Source organism: Homo sapiens, chromosome 5 (genome assembly GCF_000001405.40).
Source record: "Homo sapiens chromosome 5, GRCh38.p14 Primary Assembly".
NCBI lineage: Eukaryota > Metazoa > Chordata > Mammalia > Primates > Hominidae > Homo > Homo sapiens.
In genome coordinates, this window is record NC_000005.10 from 65,426,495 (window position 1) to 65,453,378 (window position 26,884).

Below are 26,884 nucleotides of genomic sequence, written 5' to 3' on the forward strand. Positions count from 1 at the left end.
ATAAAAAATTTAAAAATACTTAAAATATTTTAAAAGCAAAAAAAATTGTCAAAAATGGATAGGAAGATAAAAACAACACTTTCAAAAAAATGTATAATTTTAAAACAAAAATTTAGTGGAGTTAAGTGGCAGATTAATCACAGCTAAAGAGATACTTAAGAACTTGTAGATATGAAAAAATTACCCAGACTGCTGCATAGAGTGACAAGTAAAGCTTATTAAAAACAAAACAAAACAAAAAGTTTAAGAGAACTGGAGGATAAATGAGAAAGTCAAACATATGTCAAAAGAGACCCAGGAGAAAACAGAAAGAACTGAGAAGTTACATTTGTAAATCTAATGCTGCAAAACATCTAGTATTGATGAAAGATATGAGCCCACAGATAAAGAAGGCACATTATATATTAAACAGGATAAACAGCTCTACACAAGATTACAAAAGCCTACTCAAATACATCAAAAATCACACTAAACAGAAACAGAACAAACTTTACAGCTGAAAGATTGAGGTTGTCAAAAAGGATGAAGAAATAAACCTCCTAGTGATTTGCTATTTAATAGAGGCATGCCTATGATAAATAATAGAAAAGGGTTAGAAGTAAAAGGATAGAAAAAATACCAACACTACCTAAAAGAGACTTGAACTATAAAAATGCCACTTCAAAATATTAGCAACTTGTTACGGTTATATAAATGTACTCAATAGCAACATAATTGAATAAATTTTCTATTTTTCTATTTTTATTTTTATTCTATCATTTGACATCAAATTAGGAAGTTGAATCAATCACTTAATTTTATTTTATTATTATTATTATTTTTTTTTAGAGACTGGGTCTCACTCTGTCACCCAGGCTGGAGTGCCAAGGCATGATCATTACTCATTGCAGCCTCAAACTCCCGGCCTCAAGGGATCCTCCCACCTCAGCCCTCCAAGTGGCTAGGGTTACAAATATATTATTTGGTATACAGATAAACTAAAATTTAGAATAAAAGCAGATAAACAAATTCAGCTAAATGCAGGTATGAGTCAAAATGCCAGTATGGTAATCCCAGCACTTTGGGAGGCCGAGGCAGGCGGATCGTGAGGTCAAGAGATCGAGACCATCGTGGCTAACATGGTGAAACCCCGTCTCTACTAAAAATACAAAAAATAAGCCGGGCGTGGTGGCGGGTGCCTGTAGTCCCAGCTACTTGGGAGGCTGAGGCAGGAGAATGGCCTGAACCCAGGAGGTGGCGCTTGCAGTGAGCCAAGCTCATGCCACTGCACTCCAGCCTGGGCTACAGAGCAAGACTCGGTCTCAAAAAAAAAAAAACAAAAATGCCAGTATGACTCAAAACAGTATTTGAAAAAAATTATTTAATTTAAAGCCAAACTTGTAGAAAAAAAGCTAAGTTTGGAAAGTAAAAAAACATAATCAAAAGTCTAATCATGATTAAGTTAATAAAGAAGGCCAGGCACGGCTCACACCTATAATCCCAGCACTTTGGGAGGCTGAGACAGGTGGATCACCTGAGGTCAGGAGTTCAAGACCAGCCTGGCCAACATGGTGAAAGCCCGTCTCTACTAAAAATACAAAAATTAGCCAGATGTGGTGGTGTGTGCCTATAGTCTCAGCTACTTGAGAGGCTGAGGCAGGAGAATCACTCAAACCTGGGAGGCAGCAGTTGCTGTGAGCCAAGATTGCACTATTGCATTCCAGCCTGCGCAACAGAGTGAGACTCCATCTCAAAAAAAAAAAAAAAAAAAAAAGTTAAAGAAAGTTTTATTACATTTTCCTTGTTTTAAGAAATCATTTGTGAAACAGGACAAATAATACAACAGGTTCACTTTAAAAGCTCAAAAACCATTATTTCAACATGGATTCAATTGTTGCCTCTGTTTCCAACAAAAAAGGTTCACTAAGAAAGTGTTACCATTTTTAGTCTTTTTTTATTTAATAAACATTCAAACTCATGAATATAATCATTATTCTTCTACAACTCTATTGAAAAGTAAAAGTACTTACATGCTGAAGGATCAGATTTAAAAGACTTCAAGGAAAAACCAGGGGGACCTTCAAGAAGTACTTAACTGCCAAGCACCAAAATGGCTCCTCAGTTTACATGCTACACTCAAGTTGCTTACTTTTCTCTGCAAACCATTTAAGAATTTATTTTGCATGTTTGAATTTTCCTGGGGACCCTGATACACAACAAAGTACCTTGCTGTCTGGCAATGATGATGACTTTCTAGAGCGTTTATCTGGGAGAAGACCAAAGGGCATATTCAGTCTGTATTAAGTCAACCCTTGTATGGAAATCAAGGCTTGCTTTCTCACTAGACTTAATTAAGGACCACACAAAAATACTACAGAAAAAAGTTGAGGAAATGAGGAAATGCCATTAGGAGAAAAAGGATCAATAGGAAGAAATAGTCAAACATGAAATTGAAAATAAATTTACATTGATGGGGTTCAGGACATGCTATCCCAAAATACAGTACCTAGGCACACTGAGTATTTTTACTTGAAGGAAATTGAGAAAACTGCAGAAACAGGAAGATCTCTCTGATCTCCTCTCTCCTAAACCAGTCCACAGAAACTAGAAAGAATTTCCCTTGCCCCTTCTCTACTGAAGCAGGTCATAAAACCTAACTGACCTTTCCCTGAAAATCAGCTATTAGACCCTTCTTCCAGAGGGTCCTCCTTATACTCAGAGTAAAGGAATGTCCTTAACTGTGAAGACAGACACAAAGAAGAATCTGGATAAACAGGCCTTGCTGAGTTCCCCCCAGTTTATTACCATTGGATCACTCCCCTTTTGTCCAATCACGTTTCTCCACAATTATCTGCTTCTTCATCAGACTTATCATAAAATGTACAGTTTTCCCTGTTTCTTTGGGTCATCATTTCTGAAGGCTCCAGTGTCGCATAAAACTTATATTAATGATGTGATTAATATGCATTGCCTGTCTGTATCAAAACATCTCATGTACCCCATAAATATATATACCTACTATGTACCTACAAAAATAAAAAATAAATAAAAATTTTAAAAATATATTAAACTTGTATGCTTTCTTTTGTTAATTGGTCTTTTGTTATTAGGGGTGTCAGCCATGAACCCTTAGATGGGTGAGAAAAGAAATCCTTTCTCCCCTATGTTTTGTATATGATATTGTTTACCATCATACTACTGAACATTTAATCAGAAGAAGCCAACACTAAATAACAGTACAGCATTAAAATTAAATTACTAAATTGCAGAAGTTTTAAAAGAAAGTTAATAAAATACAGAGCTAGTAACATATCTGATATAGAAAATATGAACAATAGTTCTATTTGAATAATCAAGAGTTCACAAACAAAATTAGAAAGTATTACATACTATGTACCTCTATCTTTTCTGTTTTATAGGTAGTATTTTAAGAAAGTAGGCATTCTAACAACTATCACTTAACAATTAAGGTGTACCAGAATACACTTCATGAAGTTTTTAAAATTATATTTACTAATCTGTCTTAAATTTAATAAAATTTTGTCTACTCCAATAACATTTTTATCATTTCAGTAGATAATTTCAGTTATCATTATAGTAGCTGATAATTGCAACTATTATTATCAACATTAGTTTTCTATTTCTGAATGAAGGCGAAGTTAATTTAAATAACAATAAAATTATCTTTGTTAAAAAAAAAAAAAGACGGAAAATCAAGAATTAACCACCATTGAAGGGCTGAGATATAAGACTGAAAACAGAGATTGGTTCAAGGCCTATATACAAAAGACTTGGTACCCCTACAAACCTAGACAACTGCTCTCTCTCCCAGCCCTGACCCCAGTTTTATTCTCTGCAAAAACAGAATTAGAGAGGCTCAGTTTCAAGGACACCCAACCCAGTATAAGGCAAAGGTGAAGCCCAAGGCTGAAAACAATGACAATGTGCCTACTTGGAACACTCCCACCCTCCTTTCCCATCTTACTTTCGGAACATTTAAAACCAAGCAGGACACTACTGGATTATTCTTTGGAGAAACTGGATGGTCTCACAGACAAGACCTATAAACTTTTTTGCTCTCTCAGGAAAAAAGTCAACCAATATCCAATCACCCTAATAGAAGCCCTCCATAACCAACCCTACCCAATGTAAATAAAGCTCCCAGTTAGCAGTTTTTCAAAATGAACAGACAGGCAAGGGGGTTCAAAGAATAAGAGAGCCAAAATAAGCAGGGGCAAAAAAGAGCGTGTTTTCAGACTCTTGTAGCAAATATTCTCAAATAAGCCAAGCTCTGTCCCATCTCATTTACACATGTTTTTTTCTTTGCTTAGAACACATGCCATTGTTATTCTTTGTTGACTCCTCATTCTTCAGAATCTTTTAAAAAGTTATCTCAACAGACTTTTCTACTACTTGATGTAGTTACTGTTCCTCTCTACCCCAGATGCATATCACACAGTAAAATTGTGTACTTATTTGTTTACTTATTCATAATCAAGTTTCTCTTGAGTGAAAGTTAAGAGGTGAGATTTTTATCACTTATTCAGTTGTATAATCCCAACAACTTACACGTAGTAAGCACTCAGTAAATGTTTGTTGAGTGTCTCAATGAATGAATAAATGCAGTTTCAAGGTATTTCTTGGAGGAGATAAGTATTTCTACAGCCTCAAAATTATTTTTTAATAATTTCCCTATTACTTTTTCCAGTCTTTCCGCTGCAGCCATATAAACATTATATGTCTCATAGGCTTTGGTTTCTCAATAGCCTTTATAATTGGTAAAAGGAAGGAATAAATGTTTATCTTTCAAGGGAACTTTTGATGCCATATTGTATCATTTTAAGTATGTCTTTCAGGCTCTCCAAACCTATAAGGACACTTAAATAGATAACTCCAGAGAAATATGCTGGTAGGCAGAATCCCCTAAATACTTCATTTCATATGCCTTTTCAAAAACTGTAATTTGTCTTCTTCCATCTTAATTGTACTTTTAAGTATGTGTGTTTTGCTAATTTAGCCCATGCTATGTGTAAACTAACCATAAGACAGGACCAAAGATATGAGACACAAGCAAACAAAAAATACCAATGTAAAACAAGGTAACAGAGGAAATGATTAAATATTCTGTGGGAGCTGAACCTAATATATATTAATTTCCCCATGCCAATTTCCTGATATTAGTTTTCTAACTGAAACCACTTTTGCATTTTTTGTAACAGGCAAACATAATTGCCACATAGAGAAAATCTGAAATGAGAAAAACTGCAGAAACAGCAGGTTTGAGGGAAAAATTGGGAATTTGGTTTTGGACATATTAAGGTTGAGATGCATGGAGATGTCAATTAAGCAAACGGATATACAAATAGAGAATTTAGGGGAGGTCTCAGGGCTAGAGATGTATATTTGGATATAGATAATTCTTAAAGCTGTATATACTTAACTATAGATGGTACTTAAAACCACGAAAATGAATGAGATCACTAAAACTGCATGAAAGTTGAGAAGAGATTTTGCGAGAGGTGGGTAAAATACTCAAATATTGTTTTCTCTTAGTCTAGAAAGACTTTTTAGAATTATTTCTATCAGCATTACTTTAACATTGGCCTATTATTAAGGTGTAGAGAACTTATGAAATAAGAATAAAATTTTTAAAGATGCTAGTTTTTGACAAATTTGTAGTGGGGTAGGGTACAAAAGATAGCTGATTTAGTAGATATCATCTCAAAATAATCCACCATGAAATTTTAACCAAAAAAGAGGAAAAACTTCTAATAAATAAGTTTCTAAATGGAGTTTTCACTCTCTTTATTCCCCAAATCTCCTCTCTACCTCACTCATCAAAGTTCTACCTCACTCATCAAAAACTCCCCATCTCCCAACATCAGAACTCAATAATTTTTGCCTGGCATCCAATTCTTTGGGATAAAAGAAAAAAGAAAGTGAAATGTTAATTCAAATGGCTCTTAAAAGCCTTTCTGAACTAGAAAGAAAAGAGCCATTGAATTTTTTCCACCCATTTTTCACTGCTTTGCATACATTAGCACTTAATCACACACACACACACAAAATCTATTCTCCACACCCCTGCCAGGAACATTTTTCGAATCTGATCATGTCACTTTTCTGTTTAAATTTCTCCAATGCCACCCATTATGTAAAGTAATTAAAAGCTAAATTTCTTTTTTTATTAGTTTTGTTGAGTTTGTTTTAACATAAAAGAAATGTTGTATGATTTATTCTATAACTTTGTTTGCTTGTTTTACTTTATATTATGTCATGTACTGGCCTCTGCAACCTCTCTAACATTATTGCATATCATCCTCCCCTTTGTTCACTACATGTCACTTCTTTTCCTCAAACCCAGTAAGCTCATTCTTTAACTTACTTCATACTGGTACCTAGAAGATAACAGCACCATGACATATTATCAGTTCAATACATATGGGGTGAATGAATGAATCAATTAATGAATTTCTACTGTCCAGTCATATATCCTATAATTCTTTACCCACTCTTTCCCCTCTAAAAATACTGACCATTTAGTTCCCCAAATGAGGCCATTTTCTTTCTCACCTTTTCCATATCATTATACATGCACTGCCTTCTTCTTGAGCAGGCATCTGTCATTTATCCAAATCCCTATTCAACTTTCAGATCCTTGATAAAACATCACACCCTAATGAAGTTATGCTTGGACGCTTCTCCATGAAAAATTGGTTGCTGCTTCTATGATTCCACCATATTTTTTCTTCTCAAAACCTAGTATGTGACTAACACACAGTTAATAATAGCTCCAAATTATTAATATGCCTCCTTACCAGGTGCTTAGCACTGTACCAAAAACCTCACACATCATGTCATAACATTATAATCCAACAAACTCAAAGAGCTTTGGTGTTCAGCCCCAAATACCAACAAACAGACGGCAAGAGCAGGATGCAAGGTTTGCGTGACTACAAAATCCACTTATTTTCCATTATGCAGCATATCTATTGAATAAATACTTGAATAATTAATATAGTCCGAGTGACTACTTGGTTTTTCATAAAGTTGTGTTCATTTTATATAACTTTTTATATAAATGTAATACAAGAAATACAATCTAATCAAGTAAAAGTACCTTACATATTTCTTGAAAAATGATATACAAATAGACAATGAATAAATTTTAAAATGCTCAATATAACTAGCTATCAGTGAGCTGCAAGTCAAAACCACAGTTAGGTATCACATTACTCCTACTAGAAAGATTATAACTAACAAGACATACAATAAAACATGTTGGCCATGACACAGAGAGATTGCTGGTGGCCATGATGTGGAGAAATTTCTGGTGGTAATGTAAAATAGTGCAGCCACTTTGGAAAACAGCCTGGCAGTTTCTCAAAGGTTAACACAGGGTTATCTATGGGCCAGCAATTCTACCCCTAGGTATATACTCAAGAGAAATGAAAACACACATCCACACAAAAACTCCCACATGAATGTCCACCATAGCATTTTCCACAATAGCTGAAAAGGAGAAACAACCCAGTCCATCAACTGATGAATGAACAAATAAAATGTATATCCACATAATAGAATATTATTTGACCATAAAAAGTAATGGAGTACTGACACATGCTACAACATGGATGAACTTTGAAAACAACAAGTAAAAAGAAGCCAGTTACAAAAGATCTCATATTTTATGATTCCATTTATATGAAATGTCCAGAATTTCAGGCAAATCTATACAGACAGAAAATAGGTTTGTGGTTTCCTAGAACTGGGGAAATGGAGGGTGACAACTAATGAGTATAAAGTTTCATTTTGGGGTGAGGAAGATGTTCTAAAATTAATTGTGGTGATGGTTGCGCAAGTCTATGAATAAACTAAAAAACCGTTGGATTATATTCAACTAAAAACCGTTGAATAAACTAAAAACTGTGAATTATACAATTCACTCAGGCTAAATGGGTGAATTGTATGGTGTGTAAATTGTATGGTGTATAAAGCTGTTATAGAAAAAAGAAATATAACTGGAACTACCCTTGATTTTATTCATCTACGACATGAGGAGGGAAAAGTACATTACAATAAGACAGTAAAGCTAGAAGACAATGACAAACTAAGTTCATAACAGATAAATACACAAATTACTTCTCTAAGTCTTCCCTTATTGTTTACTAGTAAAATTTTTAAGATAGTAAAATAACATCAACTTGGGTCCAATAATAATAAAAAAACTAATTGCTACTTATTGACTATTTACAAGGTATTAAGCATTTCAAAGCAAGCTGGGACAAACTGGAACTCTTCTACACTGCTTTGGGGCATGTGAATTGGTAAAATCACATTGTAGAGCACTTAGTCAGTGCTTAGCAGACATAAAATGATTATCCCTTATGACCCATTAGCTCTACTTCTAGGTATTTGCCCTAGAGAACTCCTAAGGAGACAGATACAAAGATGCAGATTGCAGCATCGTTTAAAATTGTTTATAATAATGGAAAAATGATAAATAATCTAAATGCTCATAGGTAAAAGTCTGAATATATATCCATATTATACAGCAACTAAATAGACCTATGTCCATCAGATAGATAAATCTTGAAAGTAAAGATGAATTTAAAAAATCAAATTAGAAAGGATAACTGCAGTTTTTTAGATAGTATAATTAAAAGACAAAATTAAACACAAAGTTAATTTTAAAAATAAAACACAAAATAAAAACATATTCTATGTATTGTTATTCCTTAATCTTTGGGTATATGTGCTAATGGAGCAAAAGAATACAAACGTGGATAGGGAGGATACATACAAATTCAGGATAGTGGTTACCTCAAAGCAAGGAATTAGGGGGAAAATGTTGGGTGCAGGAAAGCTTTCAACTTTATGAGTAATTTTTTATTTTTTCAAATAATTAAAAGCAAATATGATAAAAATGTTTACATCTGCTAAATCTACATGGGTTTCTTATATTTTCTCTGTATTTTCTTTCAGTTTGGAATGTCTTAAGTTACTTAATAATACTATAAGAATGTTAATTTACTGTTCCTGATAACTGCATTATTGTTACATAAGATGTTAATATTAGGAAAGGCAAGATGAGGATCATAAAAGAACTCTGCACCTTTTTTTTTGTAATTCTAAAATTAGTTAAAAATTATATTTTAATTTTTTTTTTTGAGACAGAGTCTTGCTCCATTATTCAGGCTGGAGTACAGTGGCGCGATATCGGCTCACTGCAACCTCCGCCTCCTGGGTTCGAGCGATTCTTCTGCCTCAGCCTCCCGAGTAGCTGCGATTACAGGCACGTGCCATCACCGTACACTAATTTTTGTATTTTTAGCAGAGATGGGATTTCACCATATTGGCCAGGCTGGTCTTGAACTCCAGACCTCAAGTGATCCACCCGCCTCGGCCTTCCAAAGTGCTGGGATTACAGGTGTGAGCCACTGCACCCGGCCTTAAAATTTTTTAAATAAAAACAATGAATATTTTTTAAAATAAAATGCACTTTAGAGGTCAAATAAATGGTGATGGTAGTCCGTATTGTCTATTATTCCTAAAAACCATTATTATTTAAAACATTTTTGCAAACTTTTTCTAAAGCTTAATTAGGGGGCTGGGCACTGCAGCTCACACCTATAATCCCAGCACTTTGGGAGAGGCCGAAGAATTGCTTGAGCTGAAGAGCTCGAGACCAACCTAAGCAACATAACCTAAGCAACATAACCTAAACAACATAGACCCCCATCTCTACACACACACACACGCATGCACACACTCACAAAGCCAGCCATAGTGGCGCGACTGCACTCCTGCCTGGGTGACAGAGTAAGACCTTGTCTCAAAACAACAAAAAAGCCCAATTAAAGGATTGAAGGCCACCGATTTATTTCTTATCAAATTTGCTTCTTCTTCAACAAATTGTGACATTATTTCAAGACATGCTTTATTTTACCTTAGCGTGGAATCATAAAATTAAAAGAACCTTGAAAATTAGTCACTGCTCCCACCTCAAAGCCAGGCTTCATTCAAATCATTTAAGAAAAACAGCTGCAAGCTGCATTCCTTTATTTTAAAAAAAATCTTGGCCGGGCGCAGTGGCTCATGCCTGTAATCCCAATACTTTGGGAGGCCGAGGTGGGTGGATCACCTGAGGTCAGGAGTTCGAGGCCAGCCTGGCCAACATGGTGAAACCTGTCTCTACTAAAAATATTTAAAAAAAACCAAAAAACAAAAAACAACTAGCCAGGTTTGGTGGTGGGCACTTGTAATCCCATCTACTCAGGAGGCTGAGGCAGGAGAATTGCTTGAACCCAGGAGACGGAGATTGCAGTGGGCCAACACAGTGCCACTGCACTCCAGCCTCGATTACAGAGTAAGACTCTGTCTCAAAAAAAAAAAAAAACTTTCAAAATGGAAATACCACTATCTTTATTAACGAGGTGTATTAGTCAATTTTCACGCTGCTGATACAGACATGCCTGAGACTGGGCAATTTACAAAAGAAAGAGGTTTAATCAACTTACAGTTCCACATGGCCGGGGAGGCCTTACAATCATAGCAAAAGGTGAAAGACATGTCTCACATGGCAGCAGACAAGAGAAGAGAGAGCTTGTGCAGGGAAACTCCCATTTTTTTTTTTTTTGAGACAGAGTCTCGCTCTGTTGTCCAGGCTGGAGTGCAGTGGTGCGATCTCGGCTCACTGCAAGCTCCACCTCCCAGGTTCAAGCCATTCTTCTGCCTCAGCCTCCCGAGTAGCTGGGACTACAGGCACCCACCACCACGCCCAGATAATTTTTTGCATTTTTAGTAGAGACAGGGTCTCACCACGTTAGCTAGGATGGTCTCGATATCCTGACCTCGTGATCCACCTACCTCAGCCTCCCAAAGTGCTGGGATTACAGGTGTGAGCCACCACACTCGGCCCCGGAAACTCCCATTTTTAAAACCATCAGATCTCATGAGACTTATTCACTATTACAAGAATAGCAAGGGAAAGACTCACCCCCATGATTCAATTACTTCCCACCAGGCCCCTCCCACAACAGGTGGGAATTGTAGGAGTTACAATTCAAGATGAGGTTTGGGTGGGGACACAGCCAAACCATATCACAAGGTATAGTCATCCTTTGGTATACTCTCAAGATTGGTTCCAGGACTCCTGCACATACTAAAATCCAAAGATGTTCCAGTCTGATATAAAAGAGTATAGTATTTGCATGTGATCAAATAGTGTAGTATTTGTGCATCTTCTTGTATACACTAAATCATCTCTAAATTACCTATAATACCTAGTATAGTGTAAATGTTATGAAAATAATTGTTATATTTTTATTGTTGTATTGTTATTTTTTATTGCGGGTTTTTCCATGGAATATTTTCGATCCACGATTGGTTGAATCTGCAAACATGGAACTTGTGAATCTAAAGGGCCAACTGTATTTCAAACCTCTTATTCAAAAAAGTATTTTTAATATTCAAGTGAATGCTTTCTTACTATAATTTAAATGTTACCCCTTTGATAGAGTGATGTTATTAAAGGGCAAGAATATTTACTCAATTTTCAAAAATAGTTCCTTGACAATTTGAAGACTATTCAGAACTAAATTGGTTTTGTCACCTCCAAAGGTACATAAGCCTAGATGGATTAGCCTCTCAACACAAAACCTATTTCCCAAGGTTTTATTCATTTTGCTATTCACCTCAAACTGATTTTCAAAATGGAATATAATATTTTACCAGAGGCTTCACCAATGCTCAGTATAAAAAAAAGATTCTGGCCAGGCGTGGTGGCTCATGCCTGTAATCCCAGCACTTTGGGAGGCCAAGGCAGGTGGATCACCTGAGGTCAGGAGTTTGAGACCAGCCTGGCCAACATAGCTAAACCCATCTCTACTAAAAACACAAAAAATTAGCCAGCCGTGGTGTCGGGTGCCTGTAATCCCAGCTACTTGGGAGGCTGAGGCATGAGAATCGCTTGAACCAGGAGGCGGAGGGTGCAGTGAGCCAAGATCACGCCACTGCACTCCAGCCTGGGTAACAGAGTGAGATTCCATCTTATACATACATACATACATAAAAAAATAAGAAACAGATTCCTACATCGTACCTATATATTTTAACAGGCAGTGTCAGAAAACTATAGTTGAATCCATCTCCCACACAAGAAAATATCTGCTATTATATCTTGAAATACTTGTTTTTGCTGTTGGCCATCTTCTCCCTTGGACAGTGCTGCAGATATAGTATGTACTTTGGGGTTCACTTAATTTGCCTTTACATTAGCTACTTCCCTTCATTTAATACATTTTTTATTCAGAACATAAAAATATATTTGAAAAGATTTTATAACCATTTATTAGACCAAAGGTCATAAAGATTTGGCAGAAATAAACTATCAAACAAACGAAAACACAAGGTGCGAACTCTAGAATTTCTGTACAAGAAAGATTAAGAGGAGACAATCTATTTCATTTAGCTCCCTCCTCTCTTCCCTATCCTCAGTTTATTGAAGCTATTTACTGGCAGGGTGGTAAAATATAAAGCAGAAGATGGCAGTCTTCTGATTTGAGGAATCAAAGGACAGAATGCTACAGAAATGGGAGGGCTGCTGGAAAGTGACGGAAAATCCCAAAAAGTAGGGAGCCCTAGAAAGGAAACCTCCAAATCTGTATTTTTTTAGAAGTGTGAGTCCATATTTAAAGAAAGAAAGAAAAAAAAAGTAGAATGCCAACTACCTAATATCGAAAGAATAACGAGAGTTAGAATATCATCACTGGATGCCAAAATTGGAGGGTAAAATTTTCATAAGAAAGTAGATCTTTACAGTCTCGAGGTAACTTGCCAAAAATTACTTATTAATTAAAATGGGAAAAATTACAAAGGAGAAACATGGTGGACATTAGATGAACCAAGGGATCAAAATAAACTTTTCCAATATTTGGAAAACCCAGTATCAAATGTCTTATGATACGAAGTATTTAAAAGGACATAATGTATAATCCTAATTTAATCCTGAGGAAACATCAGAAAACCCAAATGAAGATATGTCTCATAAAATAAAAAATTGCTATATACTCTTTTAAAATGTCAAAGTCAAGCGAAAGAAAGGCTGAGGAACTGTTCCAAATCAAAAGAGACTCTTGAACAAGACAAGTAAATAGAACGTGTGATCCTAGGTTAGTTAGTGGCCTGAGGGGGAAAATAGCTATAAAGAATATTATTAAGACAACTGATAAAATTTGAGTATGAACTGAAGATTAAATAATAGTACTGTATCAACACTACATATCTTGATTTTGACAACTGTACTGGGGTTATATAAGAGAATGTCTTTGTCCATTTTTTTGTTTTTTTGAAAGAGTCTCACTTTGTCACCCAGGCTGCAGTGTAGTGGGCATGATTTCGGTTCACTGCAACCTCCACCTCCCGTGTTCAAGCAATTCTTGTGCTTCAGTCTCCCAAGTAGCTGGGACTACAGGCATGCGCCACCATACCCAGCTAAGTTTTCTATTTTTAGTAGTAGAGATGGGGTTTTGCCATGTTACCCAGTGTGGTCTTGAACTCCTGACCTCAAGTGATCCACATGCCTCGGCGTCCCAAAGTGCTGGGATTACAGGCGTGAGCCACCATACCCAGCTGAGAATGTTTTTGTTCTTAGAAAGCACAAACTGAAGTATTTAGGGGTAAAGAAGAATGATGTCTACAATTACTCTCAAAAGTAAGACAGAAATATTAAAATGTTTGCCTGGGACTTCTGCTTCCAGACAAAATGAATTAATAGGGATCAAATTTATCCTGCTTTCTCATACAATGTTTAAAATGAACAAATTATATGAAATATCAATTTGCAATACACTAGACATCAGGAAGCAAAGGACAGTGATCCCTGAGAAATGGGAAAGTAAACAAAGTGAGCCCTAAGATTGCCCCCAGCTTACTACCTTGAGAAATTCAATGCCATGAAACAGAGTGGGGAAAACAAAGTAGAGCCCAGTGGACTCTCTGAGTTGAAGAGACAGAACAGAAAATACAGGAGACAAAGACAGTTAAAATTTACAGGACTAAGTACAGCAGCAGAGGCAGCTACACAAAGAGATAATTGTGGAGATTTGCAAAGGATTCCCCTTAACTATTCAGTTGAGTGTGAATCTGGCTCATATGACGTAAGAGAAGCACTTAAGGCCAGGCAAATTATCACCCAAAAGGATTAGAGGTAATAATGCCTAGCACTTACACAACATTAAATATAGGGCCTAGATCCACCCAGACCAACTGGAAAACCACAAGATTCACAGGGCAATTGGGTAGAGTACCCAGAAGGGACTTGCCTCAGTACTGGGGAATAATTAGCCCTAAACTGAACACTGAATTGGTACTACAAAACAAATTTTAAAAGAAAGAATCAGTTTCCAAGGAACTTAACTGCACCCCAAGGAAAAGCTCAAGAATAATTACAGAAACACAAAAATATCTGACACCCAACAAGGTAAAATAACACAATGTCAGGCACCCAATCAAAGATCACGAAGTATGCAAAGAAGCAATAAAATACAGTACATAATAAAGAAATTGTCAATTGAAACCAATCCAAAACTGACACATATAATAAAGTTAGTAGACAAAATGTTTAAAATAGTTTTTGTATTTTCTAAAGCCTAGAGATCTGAAAGATTTTTTAAAAGACCCAAATTAAACCACTAGAGATGAAAAAAATTATACTACATAAGATGAAAATACATATTAGACCAGACTGATGGATTACTCATTGTAGAAAAAAGTCACCTTGAAGACATAGCAATAGAAACTACCCAAAATTGAATACACAGAGAAGAGAGACTTTAAAATCATAAGCAGACCATACGTGAGTTGCCTTCAAGCAACCAAATATATCTGCAATTAAAGTCACCAAAGCAAGGCAAGAAGGGCAAAACCAAAAAATATATTGAGAAAATATTGGCTAAAATGGTGAAAATCTGATTAAATTAGATCTAAGAAGCTCACTGACCCCAAACATGATGAAAACTACTCCAAAACATATCATAATCAAATTGTTCAACTCAGTAAGGGTAAAGAATAATTAAACACCATGACCACCCAAATTAATCTAATTGATATATATAGAAAATTCGATCCAACAATAGCAGAATGCACATTCTTTTCAAGCGCACCCACCTGGAACATTTACCAAGAAAGACAATATTCTGGGCCATAAAGCAAGTCTCAATAAACTAAAAAGCATTCAAGTCATGCAAACTATATTATCTGACCACAGTGGAACTAAATTAGAAATTAACAACAAAAGAATTTCTGCAGTGGGGGGGAATTTGGAACTAAATAACACAATTCTAAGTAAGCCATGGGTCAAAAAAAAAAAAAAAGAAATACTCTAAAGGAACATTAGAAAGTATTTTGAACTGAATGGAACTGAAACTCAACATATCCAAATTTGTGAGATGCGATAAAGCTATATGTAGGGGGAATTTTCTAACACTAAACACTTATATTAGAAAAGCAGAAAGGTCTCAAATTAATGACACAACTTCCGCCATAAGGAACCACAAACAAAATAAGCCTGAACCAAGTAGACAGACGGAAACAAATCAATGAAACAGAAAACAGAAAAATGAAAAAAAAAAAACGAAACCAAATTTGAGAAGATTATTAAAATGTCTAGCCACAGTGATTAGAAAAAGACAAAAGACAAGAAAAAGACATAAAAGACAAAAGACAAAAACTACCAATACCATAGAGGTGATTTTACTATACATTCTACAGATATTAAAAGGATAATAAGATATTATAAACAATTATGCCAATACACTTCACCACTTGGAAAAAATAAACATATTCCTTGAAATACTCAAACTACCAAAGCTCACTGAATAAGATAACCTAATTAGCCCTATATTATTAAACAATTTTAACTGGTAGTTTAAAAAAATCACTCCACAAAGAAAACTCCTAGTGCAGATGGCTTCTTGTCAATTCTACAAAACATCTGAGGAGGAAATAATATCAATTCTATACAAACTCTTCCAGAAAATTGAAAAGAAGGAACTATCTCATAACTCATTCTGTGAGGGCAACATTACCCTAATACCAAAATCAGGCAAATACAGTCTAAGAAAAAACTACAGAACAACATCCCTCATAAATATAAATCTAAAAAAAAAATACAATTTTGGAAAATGACATCTAACTATATATATATTTTTATTGATTTCCAGGGTACATGTGCAGGATGTGCAGGTTTGTTACATAGGTAGACATGTGCCATGGTGGTTTGTTGCACCTATCAACCCATCAGCTAGGTATTAAGCCCAGCATGCATCAGCTCTTTTCCCAAATGCTCTCCCTCCCCTTCCCCTACCCTCAACAGGCCCCAGTGTGTGTTGTTCCCCTCCCTGTGTCCATGTGTTCTCATTGTTCAACTCCCACTTTTGAGTGAGAACATGCAGTGTCTGGTTTTCTGTTCCTGTGTTAGTCTGCTGAGGATGATGGCTTCCAATTTCATCCATGTCCCTGCAAAAGACATAATCTCGTTCCTTTTTATGGCTGCATAGTATTCCATGGTGTATAGGTACCACATTTTCTTTATCCAGTCTATCATTGATGAGCATTTGGGTTGATTCTATGTCTCTGCTATTGTGAATAGTGCTGCAATGAACATACATGTGCATGTATCTTTATAATAGAATGGTTTATATTCCTTTGGGTATATACCCAGGCCACACCGTCTTCCACAATGCTTGAAATAGAAACAGTTTTACACTGTTGGTGGGAATGTAAATTAGATATCTAACTACATTAAAAGAATAATACATTGATGACCAAATTGAGTTCATCTTAAGAATGAAAGGTTGTTTTGGCCAGGCACAGTGTGGCTCATGCCTGTAATCCCAGCACTTTGGGAGACCAAGGTGGGAGGATCACTTGAGCCCAAGAGTTTGAGACCAGCTTAAGCAATATAGTGAAACTCCATCTCTACAAAATATACAAAAAATTAGCTGGGCATTGTGGTGCACGCCTGTAGTACCAGCTACTTGGGAGGCTGAGGTGGGAGGACTGCTTGAGCCTGGGAGGCAGGGGTTGCAATGAGCTTAAGATCACAACACTGCACTCCAGCCTAGGCAACAGAGTGAGACCCTGTCTCAAAAAAAAAAAAAAAAAAAAAAAAAAAGTTGGTATTCTAAACCAATCATTGCAATTCACTGTATTAATCCACTTTAAAAAAGATAAACTATATGATTATCTCAAACAATTCAGAAAAGGCATTTGGTAATATTCCAACACCCATTCCTGATTTAAAAAAAAAAAAAACTCTCAGCAAACTATGAACACAAGGAAATTTTCTCAACCAGACAAAGCGCATCAACAAAGAAACCTATAGCTAACATCATACTTAATGGTGAAAGACGGAATTCTTTCCTTGCTGAGGTCAGGAACAAAACAAGGATCTCTGCTCTCACCACCTTTATTATACATTGTATTAGAAGTTCTAGACATTCCAATAAGGCAAAAAATAAATAAATAAACAAATAAAAGTCATTCATTATTAAAAGGAAGAAGCATAATGTCTTTCATCTCAGACAACATGATCATCTTTATATATGGAATCTATTAAAAAGCTATTAAAACCAGTCCAGGCTCAGTGGCTCATGCCTGTAATCCCAGCACTTTGGGAGGCCGAGGCAGGCAGAACACCTGAGGTCAGGAGTTCAAGACCAGCCTGGCTAACATGGTGAAACCCCATCTCTACTAAAAATACAAAAATTAGCTGGGTATGGTGGCAGGCACCTGTAATCCCAGCTATTTGGGAGGCGGAGGCAGGAGAATCACAAAGCTGAGATCGTGCCATTGCTCTCCAGCTTGGGAGACAAGAGAGAGACTCTGACACACACACAAAAAGCTATTAAAACCAATAAATGAACTTAGCAAGGTTACAGGATACAAAATCCATATAAATATCTATTGCATTTTTATATACCAGTGAAAAACTATTAATATTGAAAATGAAATTTTAAAAACAGTATCATGGACAATAACATCAAAAAATATGACCAAAGGTATAAAAACACTGAAAACCACAAAACACTGCTGAGAGAAAGTAATGAAAACCTAAATAAATGGAGAGATAGACTTTGTTCATGAGTTGGAAGACTCCATATTGTTAAGATGTCAGTTCGCTAGACCACAGTCCAGAGGAGAAGATTACATAAAGTCATGAATATCAGGAGACAGAGATCACTGAGGGCCATCCTAGAAGTCTGCCTACCACAGGTGCCAACGTTATTAAAGGATACCACATTTTTTTTTTGTTGCATATCCTTATAACTCTTCTAAAAGGACTTTGTAGCAAGACTGCATGGTACAAATCCTAGTTCTACTAATTACTGTGTGACCTTGCCAATCAATTTACTTTCCTGTGCTTCAGCTCTCTCTTCTCCAATATGGAGAAAAACAGCAGTCCTTATCTCATGCAGTTATTTAAGGTTTTAAATGATTGAGTGTCTGTAAAGCACTTAAGTATCTGGTACTTGGTTATATACATACATCAATACATCCATAAAACCAATATAAATACTTAAGTTACTATTCCTTAGAGTTTAGTACAATACATCCTTCTTTAACTGTTTAATGACGCCTACTACAAATAAGGTACACTATTTATTCAAGGTGTGTATAAAGATAATTGATTAAATTTGGGCACTGAGGAAATAGCATCTTCTTGTTTCCATTTTTATTTGAACTTCAACAAACAAACATAGGTAATGCCTGAGATAACCATAATCCTGTTTCACCAGGTCCTAATATGTGCCTGTTTTTCAGACATAACTGTCAATGGCATGCTCTTTCAGTTTTTTTGTGGTTTGTTTTTTGTTTTTTAAGATGGAGTCTCACTCTATTGCCCAGGCTGGAGTGCAGTGGTGCAATCTCAGTTCACTGCAATCTCCGCCTCTCGGGTTCAAGCGATTCTCCTACCTCAGCATCCTGAGTATCTGGGATTACAAGCGCGTGCCACCACGCCCGACTAATGTTTTTGTGTATTTTTAGTAGAGATGGGGTTTCACTATGCTGGCTAGGCTGGTCTTGAACTCCCGACCTCAAGTATTCCTCCCACCTCAGCCTCCCAAAGTGCTGGCATTACAGGCATGACCCATCACACAGAGCCCCCCTCTTTCACTCTTAAAAGTGTCCCAGTGTACACAAGAAATTAGAGTTACTCCAGTTTGTCAGTCTACATTGAAATGGTAACTGATTCAAGATAAACACTTCTGAGTAAGAAACCAACAAGGCACGGATAAAAGGAAAGGAAACTGAAGAGGAGGAATATGGGCAATGGGGGTGGGTAGATAATAGTGGGCAACAGAGTGAGAGACCCTGTCTCAAGAAAAAAAGAAAGAAAGGTTGGTTTAATATTCTAAACCAATCATTGCAATTCACTGTGTTAATACACTTTTAGAAAGATGAACTATATGATCATCTCAAACAATTCAGAAAAAGCAGCGTGGTAAGAGAAAAATAAATGCTTCAAAATGTCCACATACCAAAATTAATTCACCCACAATCTGAATTCACACTTCGTATAAACCAAATATATTCTTTAAAAGCTAGTGAAATAAAATATTTAACTGGTCATAAAAGAGGTAACTGGCATTTCTTTAAAGATTTTTAAAAATCCATAAATGAATACCAAATAAATGTTAATATATCACATTTAACTTCCCTTTTCTCTATCTGTCCTAATACATTACCATGAAACCAATATATAATCCTGATAAACACATTATTTAAAAAATAAGAAAACTTGTTTAAATGCACACACTGCAAGCCAAATTTTAACAATAAACCATTTTTATAGCTATTTTTGTATTCCCAACTGAAAACATTAGGTGACTTTGGAAATTCTAATTCCTTTATAATCCAGCAGCACCAAAGCAAACAGTCATGACCCCTTAAGAGGATAAAATGCCCATTTTAATTAAAGACTAAATTATTTGACTTGGTGTGCAATTTTTGCATCTGTATTTTGAGATGTATTTATAAATCCTGTGCTTTTCATTAATGAAAAACTGTACAAGTATAATAATTGACAAATAGCCTATAGAGGCAGTCTTAAAAGGTGTCTTGAATTCTGAAGAATTTAGGCCAATAAGAGGAATGAAGTACTGATACATGCCACATTATGGATGAACCTTGAAAACACTGTGCTAAGTAAAAGAGGCAAGTCACAAAAGACCACATATTGTATTATTTCATTTGTATGTATGGTCTAGAGTAGGTAAATCTATATAGACAGAAAGTAGATTAGCAGTTGCTTACGACTAGGGTAGGAGTGGGGACTGAGGGGAATGTAGGGAATGGAGGATGACTTCCTTTGGGAGTGATGGAATGTTCTAAAAATTGATGATAATGATGATTGCACAACTCTGTGAATATACTCAAAACCAGTGAATTGTATACTTTAAATGGGTAAATTGTATGGTTTGTGAATTATATCTCAATAAAGCTGTTACCATAAAAAGAACTTGGGCTATAATTTCTACCCTAAATATAAACTGTTACGTATTATTATCTTAAAAATGGAAAAACCTGATTCCAATACTTTATAGGAGAGAAAGCCAAGAAATATATGCATTAGTCTGTTCGTGCTAATTGCTAAACATTGATGCAAATATACTCCATGTCTTTGAATTCCTATTGAATTTCAGACAACAAATAGATTTCTTGAGTATTTTACCACAAAACAGATTTAGATATTGGCTTGACTTTAAACTTGTGGTGGATATTTCCTGACTTCATCTGAAAATTTAATTAAATTAAATAATCTGTCAACTTGCAGGTTTTTATTCCTAAGTAGCTATTAATTTGGTTTATCAATACAAACCTTAATAAAGTATGGGAGGCAACACATATCAAGCCAATGCTAGATTTAGCCATTTTACAATGTTGAGATATATCTAAACATCATTTGTATACCATAAAGACACACAATTTTTGTCAATTTAATAATTTTAAAACAACAAAATACAAAAGCTTAATAAAGACAATTTGCAAGTTTTATAGCAAGTTAACTTTTTAACTATATATGTACAGTTGTATTTTGCCTTCAAAAATTCTGCTTCTAGAGTGTCAAGTAAAGAATATTAATCATTTCTTGACATAGGTATATAATGTCATATTTCACCACTGATACATTGTGAATTTCATTCACTAATTTAGGTGAATATTAATAATCATCAAATAATTCTAACATATCTTAGTCTATGAAAGCAATCAATACCAGTTACTAATACTGATATTTTAACTAAAATTATAGATCACAAAAATGAAAGATCAGTTTTATTATTCTACTATTAATGTATATTTATAATATATGAAATATAATAAACTATAGAAATATTGCCATATTTCCACAAATTTATACATTATAGCACTAACTTTGGTATTCAGAGCTAAGATGTCAGATAGTTAATACAACATAGAGAGGTAATCATCATTTTAGAAAATGGCCTAAAGCTGCTCTTTGGTATAGCATAAAGTTAAGATTTGATAAATCTAGGTAGTGATAACAGTTATTCATTATATTATATATTACTTATTATGAATAATTATATAGAACATAGTATACACATATATGTACATATAAAATACACATGTATAATATATATAAATAATTTAAATATGCTCTTTGGTGTTCATTCAATATTATTGATATCAGATAAAACAACATTCAAAATTCCTTTATTTTCTTCCTGTCTAGTCAGAGTGATCTGATAGCTTTGCGGATCACAGTTCGTTTTAAATGTAAATCAACAAAATAAAACAATAAGATATAATTTGTAAAAGACGGGATAACATTTTGAGTTTTTAAAAGTAACTATTGTTACTTAAGTAACTACAATCTCAAACGGTTTTCTGCATAAACCTTTGAGTCCCTGGGACAAAATTTGGCCTAGTGGAAATAAACATATCCATCATTTTTCCTCTGGCATTCTTTTTTTTTTTTGCTCTCTCTGTCACCCAGGCTGGAGTGCAGTTGTGCGATCTAGGCTCACTGCAAGCTCCACCTCCCGGGTTCATGCCATTCTCCTGCCTCAGCCTCCTGAGTAGCTGGGACTACAGGCGCCCGCAACCACGCCTGGCTAGTTTTTTTTGTATTTTTAGTAGAGACAGGGTTTCACCGTGTTAGCCAGATGGTCTTGATCTCCTGACCTCATGATCCGCCCTCCTCAGCCTCCCAAAGTGCTGGAATTACAGGTGTGAGCCACCGCGCCCGGCCCTGGCATTCTTGATAAACACATTATACATTCTCCCTAGTAAGGTGACATTTCAAGCAAACATGCATCATGATCTTACCCATAAACAGTCAGGTCACACCCCGAACATGTTAATAAGTGAGTTAGATCAACCAATTTTCAATATTAATACAAAATCATCTGTGGAATTCTCAAAAATATTTTTACAAAAATTAGCAGTATGATTTAAACACACGTTGGATTTCAAAATAAAAAATATATAAGAGAGAGTCCAACACTGGTACCTCTCCTCTGATCCTCAAAAAATAACAATTTTTAAATATTAAAGATGATACTCCTCCCATTTTGTTAAGTCACTCTATGGCCCTAGTAATTCAAACATAATTATAGACTTTTAAATAGGCTAGAAGTTACTTTGAAACTTTAATAAGAGTTCAAAAAAGAATTCTACACTGCTGCAAAAAGCATTTTTCTAACCTCTGTTACATTAGCCAATCTAAAATAATATGATATGAACTCTTCGAACTACTAATCTTATTAAATCCTGTTATCATTTCTAGTACTAGTCTGATCATTAGCAGACAAGTTTAAAAAGAAAATTTTGGGCCAGGCGCGGTGGCTCACGCCTGTAATCCCCAGCACTTTGGGAGGCCGAGGTGGGCGGATCACGAGGTCAGGAGATGGAGACCATCCTGGCTAACATGGTGAAACCTCGTCTCTACTAAAAATACAAAAAATCAGCTGGGCATGGTGGCACGCACCTGTAATCCCAGCTACTCATGAGGCTGAGGCAGGAGAATCACTTGAACCTAACCTAGGAGGTGGAGGTTGCAGTGAGCCGAGATCACGCCACTGCACTCCAGCCTGGGCGACAGAGCAGGACTCCATCTCAAAAATAAATAAATAAATAAAATAAAAATAAAAAATAAAAATTTATGTTTAAATCTCAAACATCAAAAAGGCACTCGAAGTAGCTTACAAAAGCAAAGAAGAGCCCTGCAGAGAATCGGGAAAATATCAAGGCGAATTCAGAATAAAAAGTTGGACAGCTGAATGTTGTAGCCAGTGCAAAGAAAGGTGGGCTAATTGCCCAGATGTACTCTACTACTTGAATACCTATATATGTGCTTGGTGTAACTTCTGTCATTTGAGGCAAAAGGTAAAAATCCAATGGAGATATAATAATGCAAATGTGAAGTATTGGGAGCCCACTGTGCGTCATATTTGGGAAGACAGGGCTTTACAAATATAAATACAAAAGCCATGTAAATATTTATGATCGTTTTGTTAGCTATATATAACAGATATCTTCTTCTAGTAATTTCATTGACACTAATCAATGTCCATATTTTTTAACAGAAAGGTTTCCACATTCGCACAATTCCTAGTATATTTTTAATTCCTTAAGTATATTTAAGAATATTCCAGACCACAAGACTCTAAGGTGTTGCACATTTTATCAGACTAAAATGTCAACATATATTAATATAGAACCATACGATTTTATTCAGCAAGCATGTCATAAACCAAATTTTCTCACCAATGATGCCAGGTAGATAAAGTCAATTAAAGTAAGTATAACTATTAAAAAAATTCAGAAATTTCACTGTATGACTCAGTTACCCGGGAACTTTTTCTAAAGTTTACATTATCTTACTGGATCTCAAGATTCTAACTCATATACTTTGTATTCCCTCCCTAGAACCTAATGTAGAGTCAATGAACATACCACAGATGAAACGTATGTTAAATACTGCCTTGCAAATTGAAATAACCATCATACCAAAGACTATTTCACCTAGCCAAGAGAGAATAATGCTTCCATTTTGCTTATTGTTTATTGTTACTTTTTATTTTAAAATATTGATAAGAAGTCAAAAGGCACACTTATCTTAAAATAATTTAAGTATAATGTTTCTAACCAATTATAAGTAAGAGTATTAAAAACTATAACAGATAGCATCGTATAATCAAAGACAGGATCACCAGAATCTGAGCCCTATTCTTTCACTTATTAGCTAAGTAATCTTGAGAAACTTACCTATCAGTTCCCTCATTCCTAACATGAGTAACATAATAACACTATCTACAGAATTGTTGCTGGAGAGTAAAGAATAAAATGGATCTCAAAACAGTTTTGTAAAACTGGAAAGCAATATAAGAATTCAATGGGTTATCACCAAATAATAATTTTGCTTGAGAGACAAGCTGTTCAACACATAGTGTAATCAATCTGCTTTTTTATGTTTATATATCTTAAAGTATTTCAAATTAAATAAACATTCAAGTAAGTTGTATAACTGCCAGTCTCCGCCTCCCTTTTAATAAACTTTAACACAACTGAAAGGTAAAAATAGTTAATATATTTTATAACTGATAATGGTCACTTTATTTTTAAGATATGTATTTTCTCATATGTTTTAATCTTGTTTTAGTATGTATTTTGTTCGGTTAACAAATCATCTACATGCTTTTGATTAAATATTATGAATAGAACTTATCAGTAGGAGGAAAGTTATTTATTAAATTTCTAAGTCAAATCTTAATATTTTCTTTTTTCTTATTTGGTTCATTTGATGCAAACACAATAATAGTGTAATACATTCTTTCTCAGTAGTGAAAAATAAATTACCATTTTGCTTTCTCTATACTCATTATCTGAATGAGGCTTTACATAGAACCAAATTTATTACAATAGTGAATAAACACAACAATCAATGGAAAAATACTTGCAACAAACCATACCTAGTAATAAGAACTGCATTATCGTGGTGGGCAATCCCATTTTCTGGAATGGTGTTTCCATCACTTTGGTGGGAGAGAATGGATTTCTGCCATTTACAGAAGCTATCGAGGGACTTGTCTGCATGGTGGTTTATCTCCAAGTTTGGCTGCAATACAACATGCATACCAGAAATGTTCCAAACAAATTACTAAGGTCAGTTGTTAAAACTTTTGAAGACTGAAGTGGGACTATAATTAGAAGCAGTGTTTCTAGGAATAATCTCTTGCCAATTTTTATCTCTGTAATATCTGACCTAGAGCTCATTTGGTATATTATTGAACTGGTATTTTTTTCCAGTTCCAGCTTTAATGATAATGTGAACATATGTGAGATTATCAACACAAAAACTAATGAAAATCATTATTATAAGATATGCCATGCAAATGTTCACCCTTATACTGAAACATAGCTAATCTATATAGCTTTAACATAAAAGGTATATTCTTGTAATGTATTTAAAATTTGCTTAAGATATTAAATGTGTAGAGCTAAAAATCATATCCAACTAGAATTTCCTAATAGAAGCAATAATAAAACATATTATTTAATAATAAGTAATTCTATAGCTCTATAGCCTTCTGTTAACAATCTTAGATATATAAACTAACTCATTCTTACCTGATCTTCTGTGAGAACAATTAAGCGGGCCACTATAATATTCACAACGTTTCCTAGGCTGGAATCACGGTAAAGTTTGGCAACCTGACCTCCAGAAAATAAGAAAAGACACAAAGTCAGACAAAAATTATAGGGTGATAGTTTGGTTTTTTAAGTGCTAAAACAATTTTTTATAAATTTAGCCATTGTATACATTACCCCATATCACTTAGAACTCTACCTTCAAGGTGCCTTGGTAAAAGGTTTTTATACAAGTCTACCTCAATAAATATTTCCTCCTAGACATGAACTACAGCATGGAAATTAGAGGGTGAGCTGATGTTTCAAGTTAAAAAAAAAAAAAAACCCTTAAACAAGATTTAACAATCCACTAAAACTGTCATATTATCTAAAAATGAATGATAAGGTCATCTTTAAATGTATTTTTATGGAACTGAAACATTACTAGACCAATTTTTTACCATTTTAGACAGGTAAATTCTTATCATTATTTACTTCACAGCAAAAATTTATGACCTTAGTCAAAAACACAACAAATATGAAGTAAAATATTATATAGAGGGATCAAACTTACAATATTCATCACACTCAAAATGTAATGTTCAATGTCTTTGCGGCCATGGTAGCCCACCATCATTTTGTCTGCCACTACCAATGTCTCCACAAACCGTTCAATGCTCACTGATCTCTTCTGTCTGTGGTGGATATGTGTGTTGTTAATTGGTAGTGAATAAGAAACAGTGGATGTGTCATTCAGCCACCAAGGTTTGCCACTTCTTGTGAAATCTACAATAAAAGCAGCCAATTCAGATAGGTTCACTAATTAAAAATATTTATTTATAGATCTTTCATGTAGACATGCTTCTCACAAATTCTCTAATATATTAAGATTTTTCAAAGAGAAGAGAATGAGAAAATGCAGTAGTGAGAAAAAAGTCTGTAAATTTTTGAAAATAATCACGTTATCTGAAAAAATTAAACATTCAACTGCTCATGAAAACAAAACAAATCTAAGAAATGAATTAATTAATAAAAATAATTTTCAAATAGTCATTTCATATTATTCCAGTAATTACATCTTAATACATTTAAATTTAGGATATATACTTTAAAGAGCCATTTAAAGTTATTTAAAAAGCATCTAGAGTATGAACTTTTCAATCAGTCTAAGACAGCTCTGATAGCCCTGATTTTGCAAAAATCTATTCCAAAGATACTTTTGATTATTCATTTTAAAATAAGATGC

General features: G+C 34.8%; 1 protein-coding gene across 12 annotated transcripts in view; it reads right to left on the bottom strand.

The window, feature by feature from the left end:
* Positions 1-26,884, bottom strand: part of ADAMTS6 (ADAM metallopeptidase with thrombospondin type 1 motif 6) — a 333,183-nt gene that overhangs the window by 277,757 nt on the left and 28,542 nt on the right. For 10 of the 12 annotated variants that reach the window (XR_007058575.1, XR_007058576.1, XM_011543117.3 and 7 more), the window contains 3 exons: positions 26,213-26,424; positions 25,639-25,722; positions 24,981-25,126 (listed from right to left, as the gene is read on the bottom strand). Coding sequence is in view for 9 of the 12 variants with exons in the window: in XM_011543117.3 (XP_011541419.1) it covers positions 24,981-25,126; positions 25,639-25,722; positions 26,213-26,424 (442 nt within the window). In the remaining 3 variants the exon portion in view is untranslated. Of the gene's footprint in view, positions 1-24,980; positions 25,127-25,638; positions 25,728-26,212; positions 26,425-26,884 lie in introns of all 12 variants that reach the window. The other 2 variants (NR_135689.2, XM_011543121.3) reach the window with 2 other exon arrangements.